The sequence below is a fragment of the Homo sapiens genome, chromosome 13, assembly GCF_000001405.40.
Source record: "Homo sapiens chromosome 13, GRCh38.p14 Primary Assembly".
In the NCBI taxonomy this organism is placed as follows: domain Eukaryota; kingdom Metazoa; phylum Chordata; class Mammalia; order Primates; family Hominidae; genus Homo; species Homo sapiens.
In genome coordinates, this window is record NC_000013.11 from 33,335,308 (window position 1) to 33,351,930 (window position 16,623).

Here is a 16,623-nt window from a genome sequence, read left to right on the forward strand (position 1 = left end):
ATTATCATTGAGACTCTGGGATGCTGGAACGTCACAGCCAGCTCCCTCTGTGACACCCTGTGTGAGGCAACAGTGGGGCAGGACTCCGAAAATGGTTCCATGCTGTCACTACGACACCCATGAACTGTGATGCCTTCCTAAGTGCTAGACTGTGATTAGGGTGGAGGTCCTGCAGTCACTGGGGTCTCATAAGTCATGAGAGTCATGCTGCTCTCTCAAACCTACATAGCTACAAGTAGTGGGTATGTGCCTTGCACACGCCACTTAACCTCTCCCAGCCTTGGAGGTCTCTTCCGCCTAAAGTAGGTTAGTAACGGTAAGCATAGTCAACACGTACCATTATGTAGTCTGTGCCATACGCACAGCAAGCAACCAACGAGGTGTGTGGAGGCTGAAATTCAGCCCCAGCTACATTCGCCAAGCCTCACAACTACGGGGCTGCATTGTCACTGAAGAGGCAACTTTTTCTAATTCATCATCCCAGAGAGGACTGATGTGAATTTTCTAAATCACAGCAAGGTGCTGTTTGTGTTAACAGTGACCTTGGTAGTACCTGCTGAGAAGCCTGGGCATTAAGTACGAACATACACGGAGTCCTTAGCACAGTGCCAGGAATACAACAGAGTCCAATACTGGGTAGCTGTTAATGTTAAAATATTATTCATTCATTCATTCATTCATTCATTAATTCATTCACTCAGCAAGCATTCATTGTGCACCTCCTGTATACGAGCTACATGCTAGGGCAGCTGGCATGTCTGCAATGAATAAGACATTACCCTTTCCCTGGATGAGCTTGTGGTTTAAGGGTAAACAGAGACACAAGTAAATCATTATATTCAAGTATGGATACAGGAGGGCTTCTCCAGAGTGATCTTATAGCTTAAATTTCTGAATACTAATGACTGTGCTATTAAGGTTTAATTTATTTATACAAATTCAGCATTTCATATCTGGAAAGTAAAACTTGTTATAACTCTTTGATAAAGCTGCTTACACATCTTATACTTCCCTATGTTCAGATTAGACACACAAAACAGCGTAATCAAGCCACTGTTACAGGACCACCACCTGTGTCCACTTGGGTGCCAGGACCCTGCTGTCAAAGACAGGTCCACTTCCTTACAACATGGCCTAGAATTGGCTGATTATAAGCTGCCTGCTGGCCATGTTCGGTGGCTCACACCTGTAATCTCAACATTTGGGGAAGCCGAGGTGGAAGGATTGCTTGAGCCGGAGAGTTTGAGGCCAGCCCAGGCAACATGGCGAGACTCTGTCTCTTCAAAAAATTTTAAAAAATTAGCTGGGCATGGTAGCATGTATCTGTAGTCCCAGCTACTCAGGAGGCTGAAGTGGGAGGATGGCTTGAGCCACAGAAGTTGAGGTTTCAGTGAACCAAGATCACACCACTGCACTCCATCCTGGGTGACACAGCAAGACCCTGTATCAGAAAAAAAAAAAAAAAAATTCTCCTTACTTGTGTTCCTGTTCAGAACTACTCAAATATATTATTGGATGAAGTAGCCTAAGAACAAGTGAAAACGCATGGATGCACTCTTATTTTCAATTGTCCAGAAATATCAGGTTGGTGAAAAAGTAATTGTGGTTTTTGCCATTGAAAGTAATAGCAAAGACTGCAATTATTTTTGCACCAACATAATACTTCACATTAAATAATAATTTTTAAACAAAAGAAATATATATATACATATATGTGTGTATATTTTACAAGGTTAAATGTAAAATATTTACATTTGCATTAGCAAAGGAGGATTTAACCTATGCAATTTTATAAGACTAGACTCCAGTCAGCTTTAGTGTTTTTCCCAGAGACAAATGGGAATAATGACAAAATAAAATGTTGGCAGATATAAAATCCCTGATGATAAATGATAGGCTTTATTACTACCTCTCCTAATTTCCTTTTCTGAGTAAGTACCCTAGGTGAAACCTACACAAGAAATAGCTTTAATGGTTTTAATAGTAGTGGTTTAATGAACTAATCTATTATGAGCATTGTAAATATTTAATTAAGACACAGCTTAATTAAGACATTTAAAAAAAAGATCTGCAAGTCTATCATATCAAGAATTGTACCTTGTCCCAATTTCCTATTATTCCTCAGTACCACAATACTTTTTAAAAAACTAATTAAAATATTTGCTTCAATATATGTCATAAGGAAATACACTCACTGTATCAGTAACTCTGCAAACATCAAGGGTCATATTATTGCCTTACTTTATAATGCTGTTGTCAGAATCAATAAACAATAAAATAAAATAAACACTTTCTTTTTTGGGGGTTCACCTTCCCCAAAAGCAAGGGGCACAGAGGATGTGGACTGTAGATTGTAGATACTCAAGGGACTGTTTCCAAGGTCCTTTCAGTGATTTACACATGGCTGTTGTCTTACGTATATAACACCAAGTCACCAGTGAAGGTGAATTCACAAAGCAAGTCATGGCTCTACAAGGAACTGGCTTCCCCTGAGTGCAGGACCAGCTACATCATTTGCAGGGTCCAAGACAGAATGAAAATGTGGGCCTTCCATTCAATAATTATTAGGAATTTCAAGATGGTAACAGCAGAACATTAAACCAAATGAGGGGCCCTTCTATGCATGGGGCCCTGTGTGACTGCAGAGGTCACATGACCCTGCAGTCAGCCCTGCCGGGGTGTAGTGCAAAGACTGTTGAGATCTTAGAGGAGTTTGCAGGCTCCGGACTCCTGACTTGTCCCCTCTTGTCCCTTCTTCAATTCTGGTAGATGTAGTTCCAATAGCAGAAGGTACCAGTTATAAGTTGCTGGTATAAGTTGCTAAGTAGCCAAAGCTTCATGGGAGTGACACTGGTAGGTTTCCTAGGGTACACTTATGGGCTTCTGCCCTTTCTCTCAACTATCAGACCAACCCATGAAATCCAGACAGAAAAGGTACTAAAAGACTGAGGACATTAAGGTTCTTTTAGACTCACGGTCTAGTTTTACGGACTCATTGATCTTTAAAGTTAAATGGGACCTTAGAGATTATCTAGTCCAATTTCTCTCATTTTAATTAGGTCTCCATCAAATTCCATTTAGGCCAAAAGCATGCAGATGAATTCTCATTTGCATAGCTCTACAGCTGATGGTGATTTTGATGATGAAATCATAGTTGACAGTCTTTCAGAAAGACAAAATGTTAGTATAATGAAAGATTCATGATATAACACTAATGGATCGATACGAGATGCTGCCAGCCATGCTAACAATATATTTAGCATTTGATTTTTTAAAAAATCCCAGTCAGAGCAAGGAGAGTGAGCTGAATGTCTTAGTTCTTGGAATTCCCTGGACATGGGATCTAGAATGAGTTTATAAGATATAGGAGATCGAGACCATCCTGGCTAACATGGTGAAACCCTGTCTCTACTAAAAATACAAAAAATTAGCCAGGCGTGGTGGCATGTGCCTGTAGTCCCAGCTACTCAGGGATGCTGAGGCAGGAGAATTGTTTGAACCCGGGAGGCAGAGCTTGCAGTGAGCTGAGATCGCGGCACTGCACTCCAGCCTGGGCGACAGAACGAGACTCCGTCTCAAAAAAAAAAAAAAAAAAAAAGAAAGAAAGATACAGGAACAAAGCATATGAATCTAGAAGTGAAGGAAATGGGTGGTTTCGGGTGGGGGTTAAAGGATCTCCTTTATCAGGAACACATGCCTCTGCTCCTCTATTCCCTACTTATATGTATGTTGTCTTCAATAATCCCTTACATAGGGTTTATTATGGGCCAGACACTGTGCTAAGTTCTTTGCAAATATTAACTCATTTAATCCTCATAACAACCCTCTAAGGTAAGTACTATGCTTATCCTCCTCTTTAAAGATGAAGAAACTGACAAACATTGAGATTAATTATCTTGCCCAAGGGCCCACTGGTTTAACTGGTGGAGGCAGGATTCAAACTCATGTAGCTTTGACTCCAGTAGCTGTTCTTAACCACTAGATCGTGATGCTGTGCCAGTCATCTTCCATCATGCCCTAATACCACCAACGCTACCCTCTACTACACAGCTATAGGTACCAAAAGTTAAAGGACATGCATTTAAGACACTGTACAATCTATGCTTCTAGCACTGTAGTTGTGACAAATATTTATGTCACCATATGACTAAACTGATGCTAACTTCACAGATGTTAATACCCATTTTTTGATGGGTTTTGATTTTATATGTATGATATCCCAAATAGCTTCCACCCCTTTCCCACCTTTATGGTGCTACTCTAAAGGCTACACATACACTTTTCATTTGTCATTGCTTTGTTTTAGATCTAAGAGCTAGAAATCAAACACTTAGCACAAAGCCTCTCTTCTTTCTGTCTAGAAAGAATAAAACCTTCTATAAGATAATACTTGAAATATGCAAAAGCTTTTTTGACTTATGTTCATTGTAACAATAAGTTCTCTTTTATATCTACTGCTTAGGAAATCTTTTCTTGGCACTAAAAGAAAGACACAATGGCTGGGCACGGTGGCTCATGCCTGTAATCCCAGCACTTTGGGAGGCCAAGGCAGGTGGATCACGAAGTCAGGAGTTCAAGACCAGCGAGACTCTGTCTCAAAGAAAAAAAAAAAAGGAAAATACTATTTATTACCAAGACTATGAGGACAACACCTTGTGGCCAGGAAAGGTGCAATCCATCATTGTTTTCTAGTTGGTTGTTAAGATTTCTGTGATGAATACAACTCAACATCAGGTAAGGGAGGGAAGCACTATCTTGCCATCTTTGTAGTGTCATTGTGACAACATGTATGCTCCCACAAAGGGGTAGATTAGCATAATTTGTTACGCTTTTTATGATATTCAAACATTCATACTTTTAGATTGTTCTTCTAATAATAAATATTTATTTCCAATGGAAAAACACTTCTTTTTTGAGATAGGTTCTCACACTGTCACCCAAGTTGGAGTGCAGTGGTGCAATCATGGCTCACTGCAGCCTCAACTTCCAGGGCTCAAACAATCCTCCCACCTCAGCCTCCCAAGTAGGAGTAGCTAGGACAGGCACGTGACACCATGTTCAGCTAATTTTCTTTATCTTTTGTAGAGACTGTGTCTCCCTGTTTCCCAGTGTGGAAAAACACTTTCAAAGATGCTTCAAGAAATTTGAAATGTTTCCATTTTATCCAGATGCAGAGAGAATAAGAAGCATAAGACCTTCCAGTTTAATATCATTGCAAGCAAATGTATGAATTTTTATGGATTGCATAATTGTCTCTCTTGTTCATTGAATTTCCTATATAGGAAGGAGAAAGGAGCATTCAACAAACACAATATGCCATGATGCACTATAGATAATGAAGCCTCTATTGTACAAAAAACCAGAAACATAAGATTCTGAAAATTTTATTTTGGAGAAAAATGTTACTAAAGAAAGATACTGCCTGAGAGTGTAAGATGTCTTGACACAGCAGATTTGCAAATAAAATATTGTGTAGTCATGCTACATTCTATACTGCTCTTGTGCAATTTCTGGAAGCTTGCTTCATTTCTGGTCAGATAGATGAGTTAAGTGATTTGGGCAGCATAGTAAAATTTATGTGCCTCACCAAGATACAGCCATGGTACTGAATTAATATCCTGCACTACTGTCCCAACATGCTTTGACAAGGATGCTATTTCATGGCTCAATAAATACTTATGGACTAACTACAAACGTGACAAAAATGTTTGTCCTTCAACTCAACTCTTTTAGGACTAAACATTCAAGGACTCTGAAAAAAGCCCAGAAATGTTGTAAGACTTTTAAAACCACTTTTATTTTAATTTTACAAGCTTGCTAAACTTGCAAAAGGACAGAATAGAAATATACTGTTGGATAAACCCCTAGGAAACTTCACAAAGTCTTAAAGCAAAATTTTCTCCATATGTGCTTTGTTCAACATAAGATGTAAAAAGCACAAAAGAGAAGTAGATATTAATTTCATTAGACATGCTCTATGTCTAAATGATCAAGTTGGTGGCTTACAAAAAATCATATTCTGCGGTCCTCTCAAGAAATTTCCGTGAACGGCATGGCGCGGTGCCTCAAGCCTGTAATCCCAGCACTTTGAGAGGCCGAGGTGGGCGGATCACAAGGTCAGGATATCAAGACCAACCTCGCTAACATGGTGAAATCCTGTCTCTACTAAAAATACAAAAAAATTAGCCGGGTGTGGTGGCTTCAACTCGGGAGGTGGAGGTTGCAGTGAGTCAAGATCGTGCCACTGCACTCCAGCCTGGGCGACAGAGCGAGACTCCGTCTCCAAAAAAAAAAAAAAAGAAGAAGAAAAAAAGAAATTTCAGCGAACCAGCTGGGCTTGTGCCTCTTATTCAGAGCAGCCACCAGCAATTAATGAATATGGTCTTTCTTTTTTCCAATTCAAGGAGGACGCTGTATTGCCCCCCAGGGTGGGCCAGCATATTGCAGATAGGTTAGGCCAAGGTTAAGTTACACCCTTTACAAATGCAAACTTTTTTTTTTTTTGAGATGGAAGCTCTGTGGCCCAGGCTGGAGTGCACTGGTACAATCTCAGCTCACTGCAACCTCCTCCTCTTGGGTTCAAGTGATTCCCCTGCCTCAGCCTCTGGAGTAGCTGGAATTACAGGCATATCCCCACCATACCCGGCTAATTTTTGTATTTTTAGTAGATACGAGGTTTCACCATGTTGGCCAGGCTGGTCTTAAACTCTTGACCTCAAGGGATCTGCCCGCCACGGACAGCTTCCCTAAGTGCTGGGATTACAGGCATAAGCCACTCTGCCAGGCCACAAATACAAACATTTAAGACATTGGTTATCTATTTATATGCTCTGAAAAATTTTACCTTAACCAGTGGTGTCAGAGGCAAAGCATAACCCTTAAAGGTCAGTAAATGGATGCTATATTGGAAAAATCAATATGCACAGCCTTTCCTAAGAGCTAAGCTTTGTTTGATCAGACTATTCCTGGGTATCAGGACACTGGCCAAGTCCTGCCAAAAGTAAAGCTCTTATCCCATTATACGTAGGCCCAACCAGTTATAGTAACCAGAGGAGTGCTCATGCTAAAAACATTTTTTATTTAATAAACTGTGTTTTTCTTTTTTGTGCATATGCAGGCAACTTGAGAAGTATTTTCCTTAAAAAAAGTTTGTTTGCTTTTTTACTTTGCAATATAATTTTTAAATTAAAAAGGCATTTGATCAGTGAGGGTTTTTTTATAGTTTGTTTTTTTTTTTTTAAGACATGGGGTCTCACTGTGCCACCCAGGCTGAAGGGCAGTCGCATGATCATAGCTTACTGAATCTTTGAATTCCTGGGCAAGAGCTATCTTCCCGCCTCAGCCTCCTGAGTAGCTGGGAGCACAGAGGCACGAGCCACCATGCCCATCAATGATTATTTTTGTCCATCAACAGTTCTAGGACCAAATTTGTAACTCTATCACAAAAGATTATGTAATATAGCAGTACTATTGTGATAGAAGAATGTTGAATTTAGAAATAATGTTGCTCTCTTTCTATTTTCCTGAAAATTTAGTACGTGCGTATGTACTAATAGTACTTGCATATGGACATATTTATGTCCAAATATTGCACTCTAACCAAAGAGCCCCCCAGGACTTGGCCCTTGGCCCCTTCCCCTTATCTGCAATCTCTTCTAAGTAGCTCCACCCAGTTCCCAAGTTTTATAAAGTAGTCATATGCCAATAATTCCCACATTATATCTCTGGCTCTGACTTTCCTACAAAGCCGATACTTATGCATCCAATTCCTTGACTTTTACTTTTGGATGTCTAGTAGGCATTCCAAAGCTAATGGAGCCAACAGAGAACCTTTGAGTCCTTTTTCTCTCCCATGCAAATCTGCCAGTTATCCTCATCTTGGCCAACATTGCTACACTCCACTTAGCTGCTCAGATCAAAACCCTAAAACTTAAAGTATAATAATAGTAAAATTAAAAAAAATTATTAATTAAAAAAAAAAATCTGGCTGGGCTCGGTGGCTCATGCCTATCATCCCAGCACCTTGGGAGGTGGAGGTGGGAACATTGTTTGAGCCCAGGAGTTTGAGACCAGACTGGTCTGGGCAACATGAAGAAACCCCATCTCTACAAAAATGCAAAAATTAGCCAGGAGTGGTGACGCAAGCCTGTAGTCCCAGCTACTCGGAAGGCTGATGTGGGAGGACGCTTGAGTCTTCAAGGTTGAGGCTGCACTGAGCCATGATTCCATCACCGTACTCCAGACTGGGCAACAGATTGAGACCCTGTCTTAAAAAAAAAAAAAAAAAAAACAAATCTACAAATCTAGTAGTCCCTCTCCCTAGCTTCCAACAACCAACCTGTTATTGTCTCTATTTCAAGACACACTCCAAATCTGTTCCTTTCTCTCCATTTCTATCACTATCACCCTAGTCCATGTCACTGTTTATCTCTCACCTAGACCATCACTGGTAGTAATTTATTCAGGTCTTGTCACTCCTCTGCTTGAAGCCCTTTGTTCTTATCTCCTGTAGAACCAAATCAAAACTTCTTTTCCTGCCAACAAAGCCTAACTTTATCTTATAACCTGACCCTCTGTCTACACTTCTGACATCCACTCTTACCACCTATTTCATTATTCTCCAGGCACGACTGATCTTTTTTTTTCTGTCCCTGTGATAGGACAAGTTCCTTCTGACCTCAATTAAGCAAAACTTTTCTTAGGGCTTAGAATATAACCCTGTATTCGCCCCAGAATTCTGCAAGTTATTATGTGGGAATTAAGGTAAGTCAGTGGTTCTCAACCTGGACTGCACAGTGAAATCTTCTGCAGGGCTTTTAAAAATATGGATACCAAGACCCCATCTGAATTGAATCAGAATCTCCGGGAGGAGGTCAGAGAATTAGTACTTCTGAAAGGCTCCAAATGAGTCTATGTGGCTAAAGTTGACAACCCTGATATAAGTGATGTGCTCTTCTTTTCTAATTTTAATTGTATATTTTCTTGACTTAGATTTTTTTGTTATTGTTAATATAAATAGCATCTAAACGTAGTATCATCTCAAAAGATGTTTAAAAAACAAACAAAAAATGCTGACAGAATAGAATGGTCAATTCTACACAGAAAAGTGATGATAAAACGGATATAAAATACATGAAAAGAATAGTTGAGTATCATCCTGTACTTTTGATATTATAGAACACATTTAGATGTTAAGAGGAAGTTTTTGTGGCTCATGTTTTATTCTTGATCTTGCTTTGCATTGAAGTCCCAATCTTGTGTTTATATCACTTCACAGGATGCTACTGTTGACTTTGAGAATGAATGAACCTGTTTTAACATGACAAGAACTCACGGAAATTTGGTGGAATTAATGTTTCTAACAAAACTTGAACTTTTCACTGTTTTAAGTCAGAATATTTTTGGCAGCAATATAACTTCCTGTGTCTATGATAAATGATTTAAAATGAGACTATAAAGAAGATCAAAAGACTTAGACATCAATTAGCTCACAGGCTACCTAAATATTGTTATATGAGTATAATGGAATCAAACATATGGATTACATTTCCATTAAAATAGAGTAGGGTTTTAAAGCAGAGAATCAGAAAGCTTTAGGAAAGTCATTTGAATGTTCTTAGACTTTAACAGCTAAAAAGTAATTCAAGCTGCTTACAAACACCAAAAGCTAACGGGTATGCTTCTGCCTAAAGAATTTAATGATGCCATAAAAGTTTAGAATTGTCACCAGCAGTGGTTGATTAGGGAACTGGGGAAGCCAAAATAACCTGTCACTCTCCCACCTTGAAGAAACCTGCTGTGCATGTAGGGTTTACAACAGCATCTCATTCTTGTAGCTCTCCCAATGGTTGTGGGCAGAATGAACCACAGAGGGGCCCTGACAAGCTAGATGTATGGCTGTTTGTTTGTTTCAAATCCCTATAAGCCCATACACTAAAGAGTGCAATGGGATGATTAGGGGACAAGCTACTTTAGGTGCACAGGGTTATTCTTGTTACTCCAGGAGGGAAGAAAGAGTACTTTTCCAGTTCTTTTTGTTGTTCTTTTGTAATTGAACTGCAAGTGACAGAGGGTCTTAGAAAGGATTTGGTGGTCCACAGGTCTCCACAAAGTCCAGGGAGGAGGCCATGTGGTACAATAGGAAATAGGCACAGATGGCTTTTGACTTCTGATGACCTGAATTTGAATCCTGCTTTGAACACTAACAACTAAACAATTACCATCATTATTGTAATAATGGATACTGAGATGACAGTGAGAAAAACTTGCTGGGCCCCATGAGGAGCATAATTTTAGAAAATTAAGAAGTATGCATGGACAACAATTCCACAATCTAGTGGAAATTTAGCAACTGCCACGGAATTGGAAAGCCCAATAAGAGCTCCCAATATAAGTTCTTCTTTAACAATAACTCCTTTTCATATTTTTGCAATGAAGTGAATATATTTGAACATCATTCATATCTTATCTTTCCATTGGTTTCATTATTTGTGTCACTGTGACCTACGTTAAGAAATGCTTTTCCCAGGCTATTTGTTCAAGCAGAAAAAAAAAGGTCTTGCTTTGGGGCTTCCTTGTTAGGAAGATTTCAGATTTGACCTGGCATGTGCTAAGGACAATCTTAAATGCTTTTGTACCTGTGGTATCCAGCCTCCAGTTTGGCCCTCAGTCATCCCCACCTCCTGGTAGCCACTTCGTATGTAGTCAGTTCCCTCCCACATGATATGTCACTTCTGAGATCAGGTTACAAACACTGCAATTTCTGTCTTGAGTGCATGCTCTCTTCTCTCAGATCTCTGCCATATTGTGTGTCAGGCACACAGGGCAAGAAATTGAAGCTGCCAGCCAACAGCCAGAGAGAAACCAAGGCCTGCCAACAACTAGGTGAGCGAGCTTGGAAGCAGATCCATCAGACCCAGTCAAGCCTTCAGATGACTGCCACCCCAGCTGACAGCTTGAAGGCCATCTTATGAGATACCCTAAGACAAAACCACCCAGCTAAACTCCCCAGGCCCCAGAAACTCTAGGATAATAACTGGTTTAGTTCGGTTTGGTTTGGCATTTTTCAAGTATGTATGATCCCCTCCTTCCTAAATATGGTCACATGGCACAGAAACCCATAGGCTTTAATATGCTTAAATAGCTCTACTTCTTTTTGTCTATCTGTTCAGTTGACAAGACAGCTTTTCATGAAGAGAAATAAGAGTGAGTTAGAAAAAGGATTTCCTTCCTTGGGATGGAAAAAAGCAAAAGGAAGAATCAAATACCTTCAGAATGCCCTAGATAGCAAATACAGGTTTGTTTGTTTATTTATTTATTTATTTATTTTTTATTTTTTTTGAGATGGAGTCTTGCTCTGTCACCTAGGCTGGGGTGCAGTGGTGCAATCTCAGCTCACTGCAACCTCCGCCTCCCAGGTTCAAGCAATTCTCCTGCCTCAGCCTCCTGAGTAGCTGGGACTACAGGTGCATGCCACCATGACAGGCTAATTTTTTTGTATTTTTTTTTTTTAGTAGAGATGGGGTTTCACTATGTTGGCCAGGCTGTCTTGAACTTCCGACCGCAGGTGATCCACCTGCCTCAGCCTCCCAAAGTAGTAGGATTACAGGCATGAGCCGCTGCACCTGGCCACAAATACAAGTTAATTATAAAGCACTTTGAACACTGTTCCATTGACTAAGTATAGTAAGAAGAAAATTTTAGGCAAGTTAAAGAAGTTCCAGCACTAAGCTTACTTGATAAAAACAGATATAAAAGCAAGACAGAAAATAAGTCAATAGCCTAATATCATCTGTTGACAGAACAGATGCCCTCTTGGGGCGTATTCATATACAGTTATACACCACGCAACGTTTCAGTCAATGATGAACTGGACTGCATATATGACAGTGGTCCCATAAGCTTACAATGCCGTGTTTTTAGCATACCCTTTCTATTTCTTTTTTTGAGACAGAGTCTCGCTCTATTACCTAGGCTGGAGTGCAGTGGCACAATCTTGGCTCACTGTAACCTCTGCCTCCTGGGTTCAAATGATTCTCATGCCTCAGCCTCCCATGTAGCTTGGATTACACATGTGTGCCACCACACCTGGCTAATTTTTTTGTTTGTTTGTTTGTTTTAGTAGAGATGGGGTTTCACTATGTTGGCCAGGCTGGTCTCAAACTCCTGTCCTCAAGTGATCTGCCCGCCTTGACCTCCCAAAGTGCTGAGATTACAGGCATGAGCCACCACGCCTGACTGCTGTACCCTTTCCTTTTAGATGTGTTTAGAGACACAAATACTTGCCATTGTGTTACAATTGCCTACAGTATTTAGTATAGTAATATGCTCTAGAGGTTTGTAACCTAGGAGAAATAGGCCATACCATATAGCCTAGGTGTGTAGTAGGCTATACCATCCAGGTTTGTGTAAATACATTCTATGATTTACACTTGATTCACTCAACCAATGAAATCACCTAACAATGCATTTCTTAGACTATATCCTCATTGTAAAGTGATGCGTGCTGTGGTTGGTTATTCTGGTACTGTGAACTGAACCATACAAAGAACACTTTTACAAATGAAGAACATTTTCACCTAGAATTGATGCCAACATTAATAACTTAAGTATTTCAGTGTCTCATGGCCAAAGTTCCATATTTTAGCTACCTTAGCAAGAAAATCCAAGAAAATCAATTTGCATCTAAAAGCGCCTTCACGGAGTTGGCCTGGTTTTGTGGCAGGCATCCCAGCTTGCTTAGAGAAGGAGAAGTTGAAGTCGGCCTCACAGAGGATTGTTTGGTCCCAGCTGAATAACCTGCTGGCATCCACTGTGAGCAGAGTGGTAAGCAGATTATGGGTAAGCAGATATTAATATTCTGATTAAACATTTTCAAACCTCATACCGCTATTTTAAAAAATAATTGCACTACTCTTGAGAGCACTCTTATAGTTCCCATTCTGAAACCACTTTTAGCTTTCTATATATTCACGATCTTAAAGTCTCTATCTACAGTTTATTTCCCAGGATTAAAACTTTTTCCCTTCACCACCTTAACTGCAATGTAAAATTCATGTGAATATGACTTTCTTGGACAATCTTAATAGCTTAAAATCTTTACATGACACTCTCTTCCTTCCCAGATCTCTTCTTGAAAAAGACAGAGCTGCAGTCATCTTCGGTCTCAGGTTCTATAAAAACCCAGCACAGCCTTGGCAGGCCTCCTGGAATGACTTCTTGTTTCCTGAGGACCCATTGATTTAACAAACTAACAAACGTAAATAACAGAAGCTATGAAAGAAACATTTGCAGTAAGCATTCTGAAGTTATGAAGCAACAAAAGTTTACTAGACCACAAAAATTTCTCTAACACCATCCATCATGTAGAATATACAATTTAGCATGATAACAGGGAAAGTTACTAATTGTTATTAATTGAGGTCTACAGTGCATGTACAGGTTTTTAAACATCAACAGTCAAAACTGCTGGGTTACCACAATTTATTTCTGGGTCCAAACCAAAAAAGTCTGTTTATTTCTTAGGTGCACACTAAATGTGGCCACTGTGTTGGAGAGAAAATGTGGAATGAACATTGTATGCTTACAACATTGAGTGTTGGAATCATCCATAATCTCCACTTCTAATTTAGCTTGCTAGTGACCTTCTCTCAAGGTGCTATAGATTCTGGGCATCTTCCCCAGAATGCTTTCAGGCTGATGAGGATGTGGGTGCATGGGTTTAAGGGCAGAACACCTAGCAAACCACTTGCTTTACAGTTCAAGTAAGGAAAAAAGGGAGGAGTTCAAAGAAGGTTAAATCTCCCGCTTCACCAGTGGTGTCCTTTCCTTCTTTCTAGGCATCAGACCTTCTTCTCTAGAACTTTCTTCTGCCCCATGTGGTGGTCACTGCCCAGCTCAAGAGATAGTCCTGGAGAGGACACAGAGGCAACAAGGTCCAGAGACTTGCCTCAGGGTCACCTCAGGGGCCCTTCCAATCATGCTTCCCCCAGTCCCCGAAGCATCTTCCAGCAGCCAACATGTTGGTGAATGGGGTCCTAAACCCTGCACTGCCCAGGAACTGTGCTGTGGAGTCTGGCCACGTTCCCTTATTGGGGCAGGCATGAGGCAGTGACTAAAGTGTCCTAAAGCTCCCAGTGAAGGCTCTGAGATGGCTGGACCGCCCACTGCATCCTTGGCCCTACAGAAAGAGGGCTCCATGGAGCATGCACAGAAGCAGCAAGGGGCAGTGTGACACTGGGAGAGGTACTAAGGAGGGGGCGGCCTTCTGATCCACGCAAGGATTCTTAAGGACCTCCTGGCTCAAAACAATCACTTCCTCTCTTGCTGTGGTTCGTGGACAATGGAGTCCCAAAGGGAGGCCTTTCCTTGCAACCTCAAAGGGAGGAAAGCCTGCTTTCACAGCTGGCAGGGCCTGCGGACAGCCAGCCAGCTACCTGCACCAACTACCGTCCACCTGTCTCCCGTCACATCCCCCCCTCTACCCCCGAGTGGCTGGTCTGCGGCGCTTCGGACGTGCTCCTTGCCTTGCATTCACTCTCCCTCCCGCGCATTCAGTGGATGTGTCCCACGTGGAGAAGGCGAAGTTGGGAAGGGGCAGCCCTCGCGAAGGGCCACTTGGTCTGGGCACTTATTCACTGGGGTGGAATGGGATGGCAGCGGAGCAGGGGACAGCCTAGGCTAAAAGGCCGCCCGGGGGCAGCCCCTCCAGGTAACCCGTCCCGCGGCCCGCCAGCATGGAGCACCAGGCCTGGCTGTCAGCGCGCGCGTCCGGCACGGAGCCCACACCCACCGGGAGGCGCGGCGGGAGGGCGCTCGGGGCCCGGCCCAGGGAGGGTGGTGCCCGCAGCCCGCTCGCCCCGGCCTTGGGCTCTGAAACTCATGCCCTGGAGCCCAGAGCAGAGGAGGGCGGCGGGCCCGGGCGGGCTACGGGGCCGGCGCCTCCCCCGCCCCCGTGGGTCGCGGCGTCTCCGGGGCACTGACCTGCCAGCCGCCTCTCCCGGACGTTCTTCCACAGCAGATCCCAGGCTCTGGCCGTGGAGTCCCGCAACTGCTCACTGATGGATCTCCTGAGCTGCGTTTGGCAAGGTTTCCGTTTGCTGGTCATTTTAGATCCGTCCTCATAACGACCGGCGGGCTCTCCACCGCCACTCCCGCGTGGCCCGCGACTCAGACTCCCGGCGACTGGAAAGGACGGACGCGGCACTCCCGCCGGGGTCCCGGGACCCAATGCGGGCGCGACATGGGTCGGTCCGGCGCTGGGAGGCTGCGCCACGCGCGAGGACCGGGATGCCTGGCCACCAGAAACGCCGCGCTAGGTTATTAACCTCTGCGCTCGCCAACTCCTCTACTCCTTTCCCACTTTCCTTCTCCTCCCCTCCTCCCCTCCGTTGGGCGCTCCTCCACTCCCCTCCCTCCCCTGCCCTCCCCCTGGCTGCCTCGCGCCCCACTCCTTCCAGGAGCGCGCTTCCCCTTCCCTCCCTCGCCCAACCTGACAGCCTGGTCCCCACGGCCCCCCACTCAAGGAGCTTCCAGCTTCTTTTCCAGTTTTACCCAGAAATCAGGGGCTGGACCATACTCCTCCTATTTCTTGATACTTTCCTTTATTTTTCAGTTTCAGAAACTACCACCTTCACAACTACAACAACAACAACAAAAATTTATATATGCCACAGTGAGAGCATAACTCATCCCAGTTTCCCTAAATTCAAGTTACTTGAAGTCAGCTACTCGGTTAGGTTGACATTCTTTTGATGTTCAATATTGGTGATCTGAACATTATGTTAATCCTTCCTGATTTCTTCAATGAAATAATTATCTGGCTGCAAACTACAATTAAATTAATACGGTTTGAAGTGTCAAAATATTATTTCCATTGCATAGCCATTATGAGGAGAAAAATAACTTTAAAATATTCAGGTCAAACCATAAGGAACCTACCTAAAATAGATTTACATACTTTGAGAAAGCATTACAATCTGTATGCAGTGAAAGAAGTACGTATTATGAAGAAGTGAAATATGAAAATAGAAGAATTTTAAGGTATTTTAGCCAAAAACGTAAAGTAGGCTTGTAGTTAGAAATTAACTCTGATTCCTGAAGGAAAGAAGGAAATGTATTGGCTCTTTAAGAAATACATCATCACTGAAGTCCAAGCCCACTTCCTGGACTTCAACTCATTCATAAGGAGAAGACAATACTGTCTCAGGCCTCGGGGTGTCCTGCAGTTCACAAAGTTTTGTTTCTGAAGTGCTTTGAGGTCTTCCAAGAAAGTAACTGTGACAACATTTAACTAATTCAGAGATGTGATTAATGCCTTACACCTCAGGTTTGGGGAGGGGAACAAATTTTTCAAAAGGAATTTCTGAATTATTGAATCTGCAAAATTGCTTGAATCTCATTTCTTTTTAAATGTCTTTGTACCAAGCTGCCACATAAGAACCAAAATTTAATCAGATATTCATTTTAATTCCAGGTGCTCCACAGGAAGTTTGAAAATTAAAAGTATTCAGTCCTTCCTCTATTATATAAATTGCTACTGACTTAGGGAATGCAAACTAACCTCTACCTAAAGTATTCCCTCTACACTTCTGCTACACTTCTAGTAAATATTCCCTCCATCAG

At 42.1% G+C, this 16,623-nt stretch overlaps 1 protein-coding gene and 1 long non-coding RNA gene across 8 annotated transcripts in view; one reads left to right on the plus strand and one right to left on the minus strand.

The window, feature by feature from the left end:
- The window catches only part of STARD13 (StAR related lipid transfer domain containing 13), a 573,658-nt gene that overhangs the window by 232,171 nt on the left and 324,864 nt on the right, over positions 1-16,623 (minus strand). Inside the window, exon 1 of one of the 6 annotated variants that reach the window (NM_001411014.1) lies at positions 14,983-15,356. The exons of the other annotated variants lie outside the window; for them this stretch is intronic. Within the exon in view, the coding sequence (NP_001397943.1) occupies positions 14,983-15,106 (124 nt within the window). The 5' untranslated portion in view covers positions 15,107-15,356. Of the gene's footprint in view, positions 1-14,982; positions 15,357-16,623 lie in introns of those variants that run through there. 6 annotated transcript variants of the gene reach the window in all.
- LOC124903152 (uncharacterized) lies at positions 147-12,726 on the plus strand. 2 transcript variants are annotated; one of them, XR_007063751.1, is made up of 4 exons: positions 147-306; positions 4,463-4,734; positions 10,793-10,884; positions 12,647-12,726. It is a non-coding gene; the product is annotated as an uncharacterized LOC124903152 (long non-coding RNA). The 2 variants fall into 2 exon arrangements; XR_007063752.1 differs by having other exon boundaries at positions 10,816-10,884.